The sequence below is a fragment of the Homo sapiens genome, chromosome 8 (assembly GCF_000001405.40).
Source record: "Homo sapiens chromosome 8, GRCh38.p14 Primary Assembly".
NCBI lineage: Eukaryota > Metazoa > Chordata > Mammalia > Primates > Hominidae > Homo > Homo sapiens.
This window is the reverse complement of record NC_000008.11, coordinates 112,189,768-112,205,038: the sequence shown is the minus strand read 5'-3', so window position 1 is coordinate 112,205,038 and position 15,271 is coordinate 112,189,768. Positions and strand designations below refer to the sequence as shown.

At 41.0% G+C, this 15,271-nt stretch overlaps 1 annotated feature.

Moving 5' to 3' along the window:
- Positions 9,684 to 10,269: an enhancer, noted in NCBI's record as "OCT4-NANOG hESC enhancer chr8:113206999-113207584 (GRCh37/hg19 assembly coordinates)". NCBI's record gives its function as "activates a minimal SCP1, AML or CMV promoter by ChIP-STARR-seq in naive H9 embryonic stem cells {active_cell/tissue: H9 hESC(naive)}" and the evidence as "EXISTENCE:reporter gene assay evidence [ECO:0000049][PMID:30033119]".

The following is a 15,271-nucleotide window of genomic DNA, read 5'->3' as shown; positions in this document are numbered from 1 at the left end:
TGGGCTCTCTGTCCTATTCCATTGTTTTTATGTTTGTTTTTATCCTAATACCATGATGTTTTGATTACTATAGCTTTGTTGTATATTTTGAGATCAGGTTGTGTGATGTCTCTAGCTTTGTTCAAGACTACTTTGGCTATTCAGGATCTTTTGTGAGTCTATGCAAATTTTCAGATTTTTTCTATTTCTATGAAGATTGTCATTGGAATTTTGATAAGTTTTGCATTAAATCTGTAGATTGCTTCAGATAGAAGGGGCATTTTAGCTGTTGAATGCCCTTAAGCTATACATATGTGGTCTGAGCAGGTTTAGAAACCTGTACACATATTGCTTTTGTTAAGATAAGCTCTGTGTCCTTAGGGAGCATCCAAGCATCCTTTTTCCTTGAGAAACAGCTGGTCATCTAGGAAGGTCCAACATGATGGAGGGCCAAGGGAGAGATATGGGGCTTTGGTGACTTTCCATTAAGGACTGAACCAAGACATGACAAAACAAGGAAAGACAAAACAAGGTAAGGCAAGACAAGAAAAACAAGCTTGGCAATTTCCTAAGAAAGCCTTCCAGCTTGGGAGTTTGGTTTTATCCAACAAAGATACAATCAACCACTTGCGAGCTCCCGAAATATTTCTAATTCCTTCTCATCTGTAAAGAATAGTTTAAGAATTGCAGAGTCAAAAACTTATTTTGGAATGGAAATGCATCTATGAGAGTCACTGTAAACTATAACCGACAGCAAGATGCAAGGTCACTCTCTATTGCTTTAGTCCAATACCATGTTCCATTTTTCCTTTTCAAAAATGTATAAATCTCACTTATAAACAACCTGTCATTTGTCAAATAAAACAAACTGCCTTAAAAGTCAAGGAAAAAATTAGGTGATTTATTCAGGCAAAAACTAACCAAAATATAAAATTCAGAAAAAATAAAAATGTAAAACTTTAATAGTTTTCATATTTTATGAAAACAAGAAAAGTTAAATCTCTTGAAGTTATTAGGGGCATTATATAAAAAGGCAACTTATTGCAACTATCTCTTTAGACAAAGGAGGGAGAGATTATTAATGAAACCATTTTTATAATCTAGTTTTTCGTAATGGAAAGAATTCGGCAGAGAAAGATTATTGTGTTTCAGCTCCTTAATATTGCATCCCGTTTTAACTTTCCTTGAATAGCAAATAGCTAAAGCGGTATACAGATGTGTTACCTTTGGCTTCATGGGAAATGCATATTTCAAGAACTTTAATCATCTAGAGAAGAAGTTTACCAAACTCAAAACAGCAGTTTTTGCTGTTTAATTTTTCTTACGAATAAGAAAGAATCTGAAAATAAAAAAGAAAAGAATTGCACAATAATTTAGGGTATTGTCCAAACCAACCCAATTATGATTCTGTCCGGGATATCGAAAACATAACTTTTTTGCTTAGTTAAAAAATGTGGTCTTTGTACCTTAACATTTTTTTTCTTTGACCCTCTACTATACTTGACCTTCTACTTTACTTAGTCCATGTAATCCTCATCAGCTTTCTCCCTCATTCTTTCCAACTAGGCACTATTCATTATTGTTAAATAAATTAAAGAAATAATATTGCCTGAGTTATTTACAAATATATATTACATCATCTCAATGTTTCTGGTTGTTAGTCAACATTTTGTTTTACCTTGTATTGCTTCCATTTTTATCAGACACCTTTTGTCCAATTAAGCTACTATATTGTTAACTATTTCAGAAGACTCCTTCACTTTACTGAGTGCTTTCATCTTTTCCTCTGTATTTCTAAATTTCCTATCTTTTGGCCTTTCTAGTCTGTCCTCAGTTTGCTTTAATTATTGCTGTAATTTTGATGTTCACTTCTTTGTAAATGATTCCTAAATATCAAGTTTTTTTTTTTTTTTTTTTTTTTGAGATGGAGTCTCATGCCATCGTGCAGGCTGGAGTGCAATGGAGGCTCACTGAAACCTCTGCCTCCCGGGTTCAAACGATTCTCCTGCCTCAGCCTCCCAGGTAGCTGGGATTACAGGCACCTGCCGCCACGCCCAGCTATTTTTTGTATTTTTAGTAGAGATGAGGTTTCGCCATGTTGGCCAGGCTGGTCTTGAACTCCTGACCTAGTGATCCGCCCTCCTCAGCCTCCCAAAGTGCTGGGATTACAGGCATGAGCCACCATACCCAGTTGCTCAAGCTCTTATCAGTCAACAGCTTTTATCTCATCAACTCTCACCATTTTGAGAAATATCTTGAAAACTATCTTCTGCATATTTCTGACTATAGGTGTTCTAGCTTTTCAAATTCAGTATTTTTTAAACTGAAATTTATCATACATTATGATGAAACTCTTAGTTATTCTAATTATGTTAATAGCATCACCAGATCAACCCAAGCTAGAAAGTTGAGATCTAGCTTGTCTAATTACTCCTTTCAACAATATTATCATATTGAATTGATCTCTTTAATCCCTAACTTATTGCAAGAATTTTCTGATATTCTCATGCTCAACATATTAGTTTAATTATTCTTGGACTATTGCAATAGACTTGACTCAAATTTGCCAACCTCAAATATATTTTATGCAGAATTGTAAGATTAATTTTTAAGACACAACCTTGTTAAAATCACCCCCTAGTCTAAATACATATCATGCCTTTCTGTGTCAATTAAATTCCCACTTTCTCTGCTGGAATTTGAATTATTCTGAAATCTTTTTGAAACATTCCCACTCTTTAGTGCACACTGTTGTTTACCTACCTGTTATGCGCATGCCTAATTGAAGAGACTACCCAAACAGGCTAAGTGTGAGCAATAAGGCTGTTTATTCACTCAGGTGCAAGTGGGCTGAGTCCGGAAAGGCAGTCAGTAAAGGGTGGTGGGAGTGGAACTGGTTTTATAGGTTTGGGGTAGGTAGTGGAAAGTTACAGTTAGGGGCAGCTTTTCGGGCAGGGGAAGAAAGTCACAAGGTGCATAGTCACCAGGTGGGGGGAGGCCACAAGGCACGATATCACAAGGTAGATTGATTAGTTAGGGTAGGGCAGGAACATATCACAATGGTGGAACGTTTCAAGGTCGGTTAATCCGTTATGGCAGGAACTAGCTGTTTCTTCTGTAGTGGTTCTCCTGTTGCTCCAGGCTTTGTGACTCCAGGAGACCTGTATGTGTGGGTCACAGGGGTCACAATGACTCGACCATGGTGGACCTTACGCTACCTACAGCCATTCCCCCATTCTTCCTTGCTAACAGATCCCCTATTTCAATTCTATCTCCAAAGACACCGGGAAAACCCTGATTAATTTAATCCAGAAAGTGTATAAGTTTCGACTATCCCCTTTACCAATGATTTGCTTGTAAATCAGTCCTATCCCAAGAGGGAAAGCCTGCTGTCATTATTGGGAAAGTTTTCCTAGCTAATCAAAAAAAGTCACACAGAAAAACACACCAACAAAAAACAACAATAAAAAACACAGCAACAATCTTATGTCTGCTGGACATTTTTATGTCTAATTATGACATCTAATATATGGCAGCCCTTTTACAACTGGGTGGGGTAGGGAGGGAGCTTGCCTGAGAAAATGAAATACTCTGAAAGTTGGAAAATAATCTCAAAAATCAAAAATATTTGGAATGTTAAGCCAATGGAATACCTTTCACTCGCGTCTGTTTGAAGAGACCACCAAACAGGCTTTGTGTGAGCAATAAAGCTGTTTATTTCACCTGGGTGCAGGTGGGCTGAGTCCGAAAAGAGTCAGCGAAGGGAGATAGGGGTGGAACCATTTTATAGGATTTGGGTAGGTAAAGGAAAAAGGGGGGTTGTTCTCTGACAAGCAGGAGTGGGGGTCACAAGGTGCTCAGTAGGGGAGCTTTTGAGCCAGGATGAGCCAGGAGAAGGAATTTCACAAGATAATATCATCAGTTAAAGCAGGAACCGGCCATCTGGATGTGTACGTGCAGGTCACAGGGGATATGATAGCTTAGCTTGGGCTCAGAGGCCTGACATTCCTGTCTTCTTATATTAATAAGAAAAATAAAATGAAATAGTGGTAAAGTGTTGAGATGGTGAAAATTTTTGGGGGTGGTATGGAGAGAGAATGGGCAATGTTTCTCAGGGCTGCTTTGAGCGGGATTAGGGGTGGCGTGGGAACGTAGAGTGGGAGAGATTAAGCTGAAGGAAGATTTTGTGGTAAGGGGTGATATTGTGGGACTGTTAGAAGAAACATTTGTCATTTAGAATTATTGGTGATGGCCTGGATACAGTTTTATATGAATTGAAAAACTAAATGGAATAAGAGAAGGAGAAAAACAGGTATTAAAAGTCTAAGAATTGGGAGGACCCAGGACATCTAATTAGAGTGCCTAAGGAGATTCAGCATAGTCCTGCCAGCAAAGATTATTTGTTTAAGAGTTAAGAGTGGCAGTTTGGGGATAGCACCAGGAGATATCAGCTGTGATGGCTTGGAGAAACAGTGTAAACCGGCAGTGGAAACAAGAGCAGGGCATGTATGAGTAGTTGAGAACAGTGAATAGGAGTATGACTAGGCAGAAGATAGTAGGGATGACAAGTTTTTTGGGGCACAGTCCGAGTTGGTCTGGTGTCTGGAATGAGACTGGGGCCTAATAAAAAGGAGCGTCTATACAGGAGCTCAAATGGGCTGTACCTTATAGCATTCTGAGGACAGGCCTGAATTCTGAGAAGGGAAATTGTCTAGTCCTTTTTAAGTTGGTGGCTGAGCTTGGTGAGGTGTGTTTTTAAAAGACCATTAGTTCACTGAATACTAGCAGCCTGAGAAACTGCTTGGGTGATTTGACTAGTAAAGGCCGGTCTGCTATTGGACTGTATAGAGGTGGGAAGGCCAAACTGAGGAATTACATCTGATAGAAGAGAAGAAATGACTGTGGTGGCCTCCTTAGGCCCTGTGGGAAAGGCCTCTACCTATCCAGTGAAAGTGTCTACCTAGACTAAGAGGTATTTTAGTTTTCTGACTCGGAGCATGTTGAGTAAAGCCAATTTGCCAGTCCTGGGTGGGGGCAAATCCCCGAGCTTGATGTGTAGGGAAGGGAGGGGGCCTGAATAATCCCCGAGAAGTAGTAGTATAGCAGATGGAACACTGAGAAGTTATTTCTTTGAGGATAGATTTCCACGATGGAAAGGAAATGAGAGGTTCTAAGAGGCGGGCTAGTGGCTTGTACTATAGCATAGCCTGCCTTTGCTGGTGTGTGGTGATTAGGCCTGGCAGAACTGCCATCAATAAACTAAGTGTGATCAGGGTGAGGAACAGGAAAGAAGGAAATGCGGGGAAATGGGGTGAATGTCAGGCGGAGCAGAGAGATACAGTCATGGGGATCAGGTGTGGTATCAGGAATAATGTGGGAGGCCAGATTGAAGTCTGGGCCAGGAACAATGGTAATTGTGGGAGACTCAATGAAGAGTGAGTATAGCTAAAGGAGCCTGGGAGCAGAAATTATATGCGTCAGGTGGGAGGAAGAAAATAGATTTTGGAAGTTATGAGAACTGTGGAGAGTGAGTTGAGCATAGTTTGTGATTTTTAGGGCCTCTAAAAGTATTAAAGCAGTGGCAGCTGCTGCACACAGACATGAGGGCTAGGCTAAAACAGTAAGGTCAAGTTGTTTGGGCAGAAAGGCTACAGGGTGCAGTCCTGGCTCTTGTGTAAGAATTCTGACCGCACTAACCATGCCTAGGAAGGAAAGGAGTTGTTTTGTAGAAGGGATTGGGGTTTGGGAGATTAGCCGGACACAATCAGCAGGGAGAGCACATGTGTTTTTATGAGAATTATGCTGAGATAGGTAACAGATGAGGAAGAAATCTGTGCTTGATTGAAGTAATGGGGGCTGTCTGTGAAGCTTTGCGGCAGTACAGCCTAGGTAATTTGCTGAGCCTGATGGGTGTCAGGGTCAGTCCAAGTGAAAGCGAAGAGAGGCTGGGATGAAGGGTGCAAAGGAATAGTAAAGAAAGCATGTTTGAGATCTAGAACAGAATAATGGATTGTGGAGGGAGGTATTGAGGATAGGAGAGTATATGGGTTTGGCACCATGGGGTGGATAGGCAAAACAATTTGGTTGATAAGGCATAGATCCTGAACTAACTTGTAAGGCTTGTCTGGTTTTAGGACAGGTAAAATGGGGGAATGGTAAGGAGAGTTTATAGGCTTTAAAAGGCCATGCTGTAGCAGGCGAGTAATAACAGGCTTTAATCTTTTTAAAGCGTGCTGTGGGATGGGATATTGGCATTGAGTGGGGTAAGGGTGATTAGGTTTTAATGAGATGGTAAGGGGTGCATGATCGGTCACCAAGGAGGGAGTAGAGGCATCTTATACTTGTGGGTTAAGGTGGGGGGATACAAGAGGAGGATTCAAAGGAGGCTTTGGATTGGGAAGAAGGGCAGCAATGAGATGTAGCTGTAATCCAGGAATAGTCAGGGAAGCAGATAATTTAGTTAAAGTGTCTCGGCCTAATAAGGGAACTGGGCAGGTGGGGATAGCTAAAAAAGAGTGCATAAAAGAGTATTGTCCAAGTTGGCACCAGAGTTGGGGAGTTTTCAGGGGTTTTGAAGCTTGCCCGTCAATACCCACAACAGTTATGGAGGCAAGGGAAACAGGCCCTTGAAAAGAAGGTAATGTGGAGTAGGTAGCCTCCGTATTGATTAAGAAGGGGATGGACTTATCCTCCACTGTGAGAGTTACCTAAAGCTTGGCGTCCGTGATGGTCTACGGGGCTTCCTAGGTGATCGGGCAGCGTCAGTCTTCAGCCACTAAGCTGAGAAGATCTGGGAAGGAGTCAGTCAGAGAGCCTTGGGCCAGAGTTCCAGGGGCTCTGGGAGTAGCTGCCAGGTGAGTTGAACAGTCCGATTTTCAGTGGGGTTCCACAAAGATGGGACATGGCTTAGGAGGAATCCTGGGCTGCGGGCATTCCTTGGCTTGGTGGCCAGATTTTTGGCACTCGTAGCAAGCTCCTGGGGGAGGAGGTTCTGGAGGAATGCCTGGCCACTGCAGTTCAGGCGTTTGGAAGTTCTTGTGTGCTGGAGATGTGGCTGGGGTTTGTCTCACAGTGGAGGCAAGGAATTGCAACTTTTCTCTATTATTATACACCTTGAAGGCGAGGTTAATTAAGTCCTGTTGTGGAGTTTGAGGGCCGGAATTTAATTTTTGGAGTTTTATTTAATGTCGGGAGCAGATTGGGTAAATAAAATGTATATTGAGAATAAGACGGCCTTTTGACCTTTTAGGGTCTAGGGCTGTAAAGCATCTCAGGGTTGCTGCCAAACAAGCCATGAACTGGGCTGGGTTTTTATATTTGATGAAAAAGAGCCTAAACACTATCTGATTTGGGATAAAGAAAAAGGAGCATTAACCTTGACTATGACTTTAGATCCAGCCACCTTTTTAAGAGGAAATTGCTGGGCAGGTTGGGGAGGGCTAGTCACAGAACGAAACTGTAAGCTGGACAGGGTGTGAGAAGGGGAGGTGATAAAAGGATTATAGGGTGGAGGAGCGGAGGCTGAGGAAGAATTGGGACTTAGCTTAGCCTGGTGAAGAGGGGAGAGGTCAGATAGGTCTGTAGAAAAGGAAGGTTAGAAAGACTCAGGGACACTTGGGGTTGGGACTGAGGGGACAGGCGGGAGGGAAAGAAGGAAGATTTGGGACAAGTTGCATTGGGAACAGGGACTAGGGAGGGCCCAATGTGTAAAAGAATGCCTGGATGTCAGGCACCTCAGACTGTTTGCCTATTTTATGACAAGAATTATTTAGATCTTGTAGGATGGAAAAATTGAAAGTGCCATTTTCTGGCTATTTGGAACTACTGTCGAGTTTGTATTGGGGTCAAGCGGCATTGCAGAAGAAAATAAGACACTTAGATTTTAGGTCAGGTGAGAGTTGAAAAGGTTTTAAGTTCTTAAGAACACAGGCTAAGGGAGAAGAAGGAGGAATGGAAGGTGGAAGCTTGCCCATAGTGAAGGAGCAAGCCCAGAGAAAAGAGAGTAGAGACATGGAGAAGGGGTGGGGGGTTCTTGCCCTCCAGAAAAGCAGAGAAGGGGTCGGGGGGGCAGAAATAAGGGGTTGGGGCACAGAGATAAGAGATTGGGATGCAGAGATAAGAGGTTGGGGCACGGAAATGAGGGATCAGGGTGCAGAGATAAGAGGTCAGGGTTCCTGCCCCTCCCCCAGAAAAGCGGGACTTGCCGCTAAGGGTGAAGGAGAAGGGGTTGAGGGGTTCTCGCCCCTCCCCCAGAAAAGCAGAGAAGGGGTAGAGACACGGAGAGAAGGGGTTGGGATTCTTGCCCCTCCCCCAGAAAAGCAGGACTTGCTGCTAAGGGTGAAGGACCAAGGCAGGCATCCTTGCGTGGTTTGACACCTCTGAAACCTGGGTGAATAATCAGAGAGGCATCCCTGCAATGATTAAACACCAAGGGAAGGCTGCCTTCCCTAGTCCGTGACTGGCACCAGAGTTTTGGGTCCACAGATAAAACGTGTCTCCTTTGTCTCTACCAGAAAATGAAAGGAATTGAAATTAAGAGAAGGGAGAGATTGAAGTGTGGCACCAAGATTGAAAGGAGAAAGAGTTTGAGGGATAGTGAGGGAGGTTGGAGAAGAGAGTAAAAAGAGGCTGCTTACCGGATTTGAAATTGGTGAGATGTTTCTTGGGCTGGTCAGTCTGAGGACCTGAGGTCATAGGTGGATCGTTCTCACAGAGCAAAGAGCAGAAGGACAGGGGATTGATCACCCAAGGGAGGTCCCCCGATCTGAGTCACGGCACCAAATTTCACTTGTGTTCGTGTGAAGAGACCATGAAACAGGCTTTGTGTGAGCAATAAAGCTGTTTATTCCACCTGGGAGCAGGTGGGCTGAGTCCGAAAAGAGAGTCAGCGAAGGGAGATAGGGGTGGGGCTGTTTTATAGGATTTGGGTAGGTAAAGGAAAAAGGAGGGTTGTTCTCTGGCAGGCAGGAGTGGGGGTCACAAGGTGCTCAGTAGGGGAGCTTTTGAGCCAGAATGAGCCAGGAGAAGGAATTTCACAAGATAAAGTCATCAGTTAAGGCAGGAACAGGCCATTTTCATTTCTTTTGTGGTGGAATGTCATCAGTTAAGGCAGGAACCGGCCATCTGGATGTGTACGTGCAGGTCACAGGGGATATGATGGCTTAGCTTGGGCTCAGAGACCTGACAATACCATTCCTGGAGAAGCCCCACTCATAAACTTCTTGTCATATAAAACAATATTGTGTTTTTGAAACTAGTTGAGTTTTCTATTATGTGTAGATGAAAGTTTACTGACAGGGACTCGTCCTATATTATGGTTTTACACAAAAATGCAGATGCCTGAGTTTACATTCAGTCTGCACCATTTACAAGGCATTCAACATTTGTAAGTTGTTTATCTCCAAGTTTCAGCTTTGACGTGAAAATTGGGGTAACAAATTAACTCTTAGGCTCATTATGAAGTTTAAATAGGTAAATACTAGTGATGCCTTTAAAATATTGCATGACCAGTGAAAATGCTCAATAAATACTAGGTATAATTATATTATTGTGGTTTTGTTTTTATTTACATTCACCCCACATGCCACAAACTTTGCCATATATGCTCACATCATTCTATACACCAGAAATGCTTCTTTCTTAACATCTCTATCCAAAGAAATCTGGCCCTTTTACAAATTCTGTTTAAATGCTACCTTGATTCTACAGACAAGAGTAAAAAATATTACATAAGTAAACATTCATTTTCTCCAAACTCCAACAGTACACTGTTAACACCTCTCTTGGCACATACTTTATTAAATCTTTTGTTACAGATATTCATGTAACTCATTTTCCCATTAAAGATATTAAGTTATTTTTATAGTCAGGTTATCCTGTAGTCACAAGGAAAATTCAATAGCTCAATGGCTTAACAAACCTCTCTTACACATGCAAATTCCAAGGCTGGTCAGACAGCCCGGCTTCATTTTTTAGGCAAGGAATCTTTATCATGTGTTTTTGTTTAACAGGAGACTTCCTGTTTCTGAGTCAAGAGAAGAAAGGAATGGACAAAGGACAATGACTTCTCACTGTTGGTGAGGAAATTGTACATCCCTTCCTTTTGTAATTCCTTGTCAAAACTACCATGGGGACCCAACTTAACTTTAAGGGTAGCTGAGATACGGAACATAGGACAGGAAATATTTGATGAATACTGCCTTTGCCACAGTTTGCTTTTCTGCTTTGCTGCCTTTTTCCACAGATTAAACCCAATTCAACCCTTTTCTGAGAGACACACCTCAAAGTCCCTTCCAGGCTTTATCCAGTTTAAATTCCAGGGTCCACATTTAATTTACAGTAGTTTCTCCATCAATCAGATGTCTAAGTTAACTGTCTCCCTCTCTCCCACCCCACGCAAACACATCCTTGGTAAAATATTGTATTAGCTTCCTGAGGTAACAAATTACCACAAACTTGAGGACTTAATGCAACAGAAATTTATTCTTTTACAATTCTGGAGGCTAGAAGTCCAAACCCCAGTAGGACCACACTCCTGCCAGGGGCTGCAGGGAAGAATCAGGGTTCTTATTTTTGCCTCTCCTAGCTGCTGTTGGCTGCCCTGGGATTGTGGAATTTGTGACTGCATCACTCTGATCCCTGCTTCTGTTTTCACGTTGTCTTCTTCTGTTTGTCTGTTATTGCTCTTTGCCTTGCACTTGGAATTGCATTAGGGCTGGAAAATACAGAGTAATTGCATCACCTCAGGATCTGTAGCTGAATCTCAGCTGCAAAGACTTTTTTTTTTTTTCCAAATAAGGCAATATTTTAGATTTGCAGGGCTGAGGACTTGATATCTTTGGATGGCCGTTATTCAACCTACTTCAAACATGCAAATGATATTTTGGTACCAGAGAAAAAACACACATTGAAAGAACTCAAAACTAAATGTTGGGGTTGGCACAGAGAGCAAAGGAAAGAGAATAGGAAGATAAGCTGGAGAGATAGAAAGAGCCAGACCAACAGCACCTTGTAGGACATTGTAGATGATAGTGAATCCAAGCTAATCGAAAGTCTCTGTCTTGTATTCCTTCTTTCATACATAGATTATGGGTTAAGAGCTCATCTTAGGGTGATGAGATCTCCCTTCAAGAGAGACACAGCTGTGAGAAATGTGATAAGCTAAGAGGTTCCTGCTGCTGCATCTGCCATAGCATTCCTTCTGAGGCTACATTTTCACCAGACTATTCATAGCCTATGACCAAGCACTATGTGATTACTAGGTCAGGGTCCTTCTGGGTCAGTGTGAGACTCTTCTAAAGAGTAGGTTTTCCTTCCCATGGGGCTTCCCATCAATCTAATTTTTTTATGGCAGTATTTCAGTCCTGCTCAATCATCCCTCCATCCCCTTCTCTTTTCATGAGTGTCATACATGAGTGCTCCCTGCTTTCTCTTACTCCATCTTTCTTTTATTATTCAAAGGCATGTTTTGTTTGTTTGTTTGTTTTTGTTTTTTACTGTTTGTTTGAGGACCTGAATAATCACAGTTGATACCTGGACTAGTCCAAAAAGACAGTTTTTAAAATGTGGTTGCCTCCAAGGTCAGGAGATCAAGACCATCCTGCCTAACACAGTGAAACCCCATCTCTACTAAAAATACAAAAAATTAGCTGGGCGTGGTGGTGGGCGCCTGTAGTCCCAGCTACTCGGGACGCTAAGGCAGGAGAATGGCATGAACCCAGGAGGCGGATGTTACAGTGAGCCGAGATCATGCCACTGCACTCCAGTCCGGGCAACAGTGCGAGACTCCGTCTCAAAAAAAGAAAAAAAAATGTGGTTTCCTCATACGTAACAAGCAAAATTACAGCTCAAATAGTATGTGGCATGTGAATTGTCTCTGGAACCAGGTGGCAGCCTGTTTGCTGAAGAGTGAACTGGTAGTTATCAGGGAAAACATCTTGCATTGTGCCAATGCAATGATCCAGGTAGTTGAAAAGTATGGGGCAGCAATGCATAAAAGGAGGTATAATTGATCAGTAATTACTAAACTGTGTGTTAGTGCTCTTAATGGAGGGATAATACTTTTTTAAATTTTGAGGCTGGATCTCAATCCTGTCCCCCAGGCTGGAGTGCAGTGATGTGATTATGGCTCACTGCAGCCTTGACTTCCCAGGCTCAGGTGATCTTTCCATTTCAGCCTCCCTAGTAGCCAGGACTACAGGCTCAAACCACCACAAGTGGCTAATTTTTTGTATTTTTAGTAGAGACGGGGTTTTGGTATGTTACCCAGGCTTGTCTGCAACTCAAGCCATCTGCTGCCTTGGCCTTCCAAAGTACTGGGATTACAGGTGTGAACCACCATGCTCAGCAGGAATAATACTATTTTACAGGAAACGAATACAGATAATCTTATTTAAACTCTCCCTTTGTTATAAAAAGCATAAATACTAGTATAATATGTTTCAATTATTGATACTAATTAAGTGGTCATATTAGTGGGAATTTTCTGTAGAACTGTCATGCCAGAGACAATTTTATTGTCATTAGACTTTCCTGAAGACCTTACTTAAAATTCAGAAGACTCAATCAGATATTCTTATTTAGTAGATCCTGGGACAAATCACTATTTATGTAGGCATTCCAGAGTAGTTTGTCCTTAGACTGTTCTAGAAACCAACACAAGACTTTTCAAAGAGCCTTAAAGAAAGAATATCTAAATGTAATAATAAATGCTGCACTCAGTAATATATCAGAATATAAGTAATATTTATGTTAAAGTTATTTTTGTGTGAAATGTGGAACTCTGACACCTCTTTATTTTTCAGAGCAATGAGATTAGGGTAATTCAAATTTTGGATGGATAACCCAAGCCTCAAATAATACTTTTACCTCACTATAAGTTAGTTCAGTTCCAATAAAGCTTTAAAGAGTCCAGTAGCTGCCCTAATCTCCGATATATTTAGTAGATGTCAAATTAGTAAAATTTATTTTAATGCTTTTGGTGAGGGGCCAGTCTACGTAACTCACCCAGAGAACTGACAGGCCCATATACGTAAATGAAACATGTTCTAACTTTGCTCTTGAAGAGTGAAAAATAGCTCAAGATACCAGATTAATTTTGCCTTGCTCACAGTATGCTGCCAGAAAGGATGAATGGAAAGTCAATTGTGCCATTCCAAACTACATGTTTTTGCTAATGAAAGGCTCATTAATTAAATAAAACAAGGAGGGATTTTTTTAAAAAAAGATTTTGCCTTGCATACCCCTATTCCTAAACAGATCTACTAAGAAAGATGGTAATTTGCTTGTCAGGTTCCTATAAGGAGAGACAGAGTGAAAAGCTTTACTAGAACTTAGCAATTTTTTATAGTTTCTTACATTTTCTTGGTTCAATTATAAAATCCTCAAAGACCATTGTATTTTAAGATGGAGTATTTTGTGATGCACTTCTTAGCTAGTACATTTAGGTTATGGCCACTCCTTTGTATGTTACTGGCTAGAGGGTAATATTTGTTTCTCTTTTCTAGATGGGGCTTTTACAATACATTTCTTATTGAACACACACACGCAGAATATCGTTCAGGGACTAGTCTCCTGTGCTACTCTTAGTGACAAGAAAGCATTTTATTCTCACAGGAGTCTGCAAGCTAGTACTCCCCACGCCTCTTCATCCAGAGTAAAATCAATCAAGACTTAGACTTCACTTTTTTTTTTCCAGAAATCCAGAATTTTCAGTGAAATAGACAAATATTTTTTCAGAGGTAATGGCAATCCAAGATGTGTTGACCAATTTTGGAAAAGTTGAATTCACACAAATCACCAAAGGTGGTGAGAGATCAGGAAACAAATACAAGTATTTTATGTACTAAGACCGCATTGATTGTAAGATGTACCATTATTCTGTGCACCTCTTAGAAAGACAAGTTAAGCTGTGACACAATGCTTTATTGATAGCTCTGGGCAGTGAATGCATTGATCACAGCAGCCTCTCATGCTTTGACATTTGTTTTCATCTATTCTAAGATATTTGGTAATTTTTTCTACCTTCAGTTGAATTGTTTGGCATGGTATAGGCTGTACATATCCACACAAGTCCAGAGTTTTCAGTGAAGTATTTTTCAGAGGTAATATCAATCCAAGGTGCAGTTGACCAATTTGGAAAAGTTAAATTCACACAAATCACCAAAGGTGATAAGAGACCAGGAAACAAATAGAATTTTATACATAGATGCATATGTATAAAATCTCAATGAAAAATGTAATACAGCATCATATTCTTCAATCTTCTCATCTTAAATCCTGATGTCTGGTGGTGACAACAAAATGTGTACACTGTGGTTGATTGCTTCTCTAATGACAAATATTTGCTTCAGTAATTTTTATATCAATATTAAAATACAATATATAATTTGGGAATATATTTTAATACTATTTGAACATAACTCAAAATGTTGACAACATCAATAGCCATGATGAAATTTCTACATGCATAAGCAATGATCACCAAATGATAATTACCATGTGGCTGATTTTATGTTATTACTGATGACAGGGTGCATTGCAGTTTCAGAGATATTATAATGTGAAAACATGTATGTGTCTAGGCGTGAATGAAATAAGATAAGCTATTGCTAGCCTGTCGGCTAGAATTAGAGGTCCCTCAGAATAAAGTTCTGAGTGCTTCAATTCTCAGAGGGAGTCCTAAGACCAATTTTTAAACAAAAATAAAAACATAAACAAAAATATGACCAGCCAAAACTATTAGGAAACACATAATGTTACTTCTATTATTAATCTGTACATTAGTTTTTCCTCCTCCAGATTTTTTTTTTTTTTTTGAGACGAAGTCTTGCTCTGCTGCCCAGGCTGGAGTGTAGTGGTGCGATCTCGGCTCACTGCAAGCTCCGCCTCCCAGGTTCACACCATTCTCCTGGCTCAGCCTCCGGAGTAGCTGGGACTACAGGCGCCCTCCTCCAGATTCTTAATACTTTGATGCTTCCTCTTCCCTAGTCCAACCTCTAAAATCTTTTAAATATGCTCATAAGAAGTGTGGAGTGAAGAAACTGCCTTACTAAAATGGTTTGGATGTTTGTCCCCTTCAAGTCTCATGTTGAAATGTGATTCCTAGTGTTGGAGGTGGCAGGTGATTGAATCACAGGGGACCGATCCCTCATGAATGGTTTGTCATTATTCCCTTGATGGTAAGTGAGTTCTCATTCATGCGCGATCTGGTGGTTTAATATGTTGGACCTCTCCCACTCTCTCTCACTCCTGTTCTCACTATGTCCTATGCCAGCTCCTCCTTTGCCTTCCA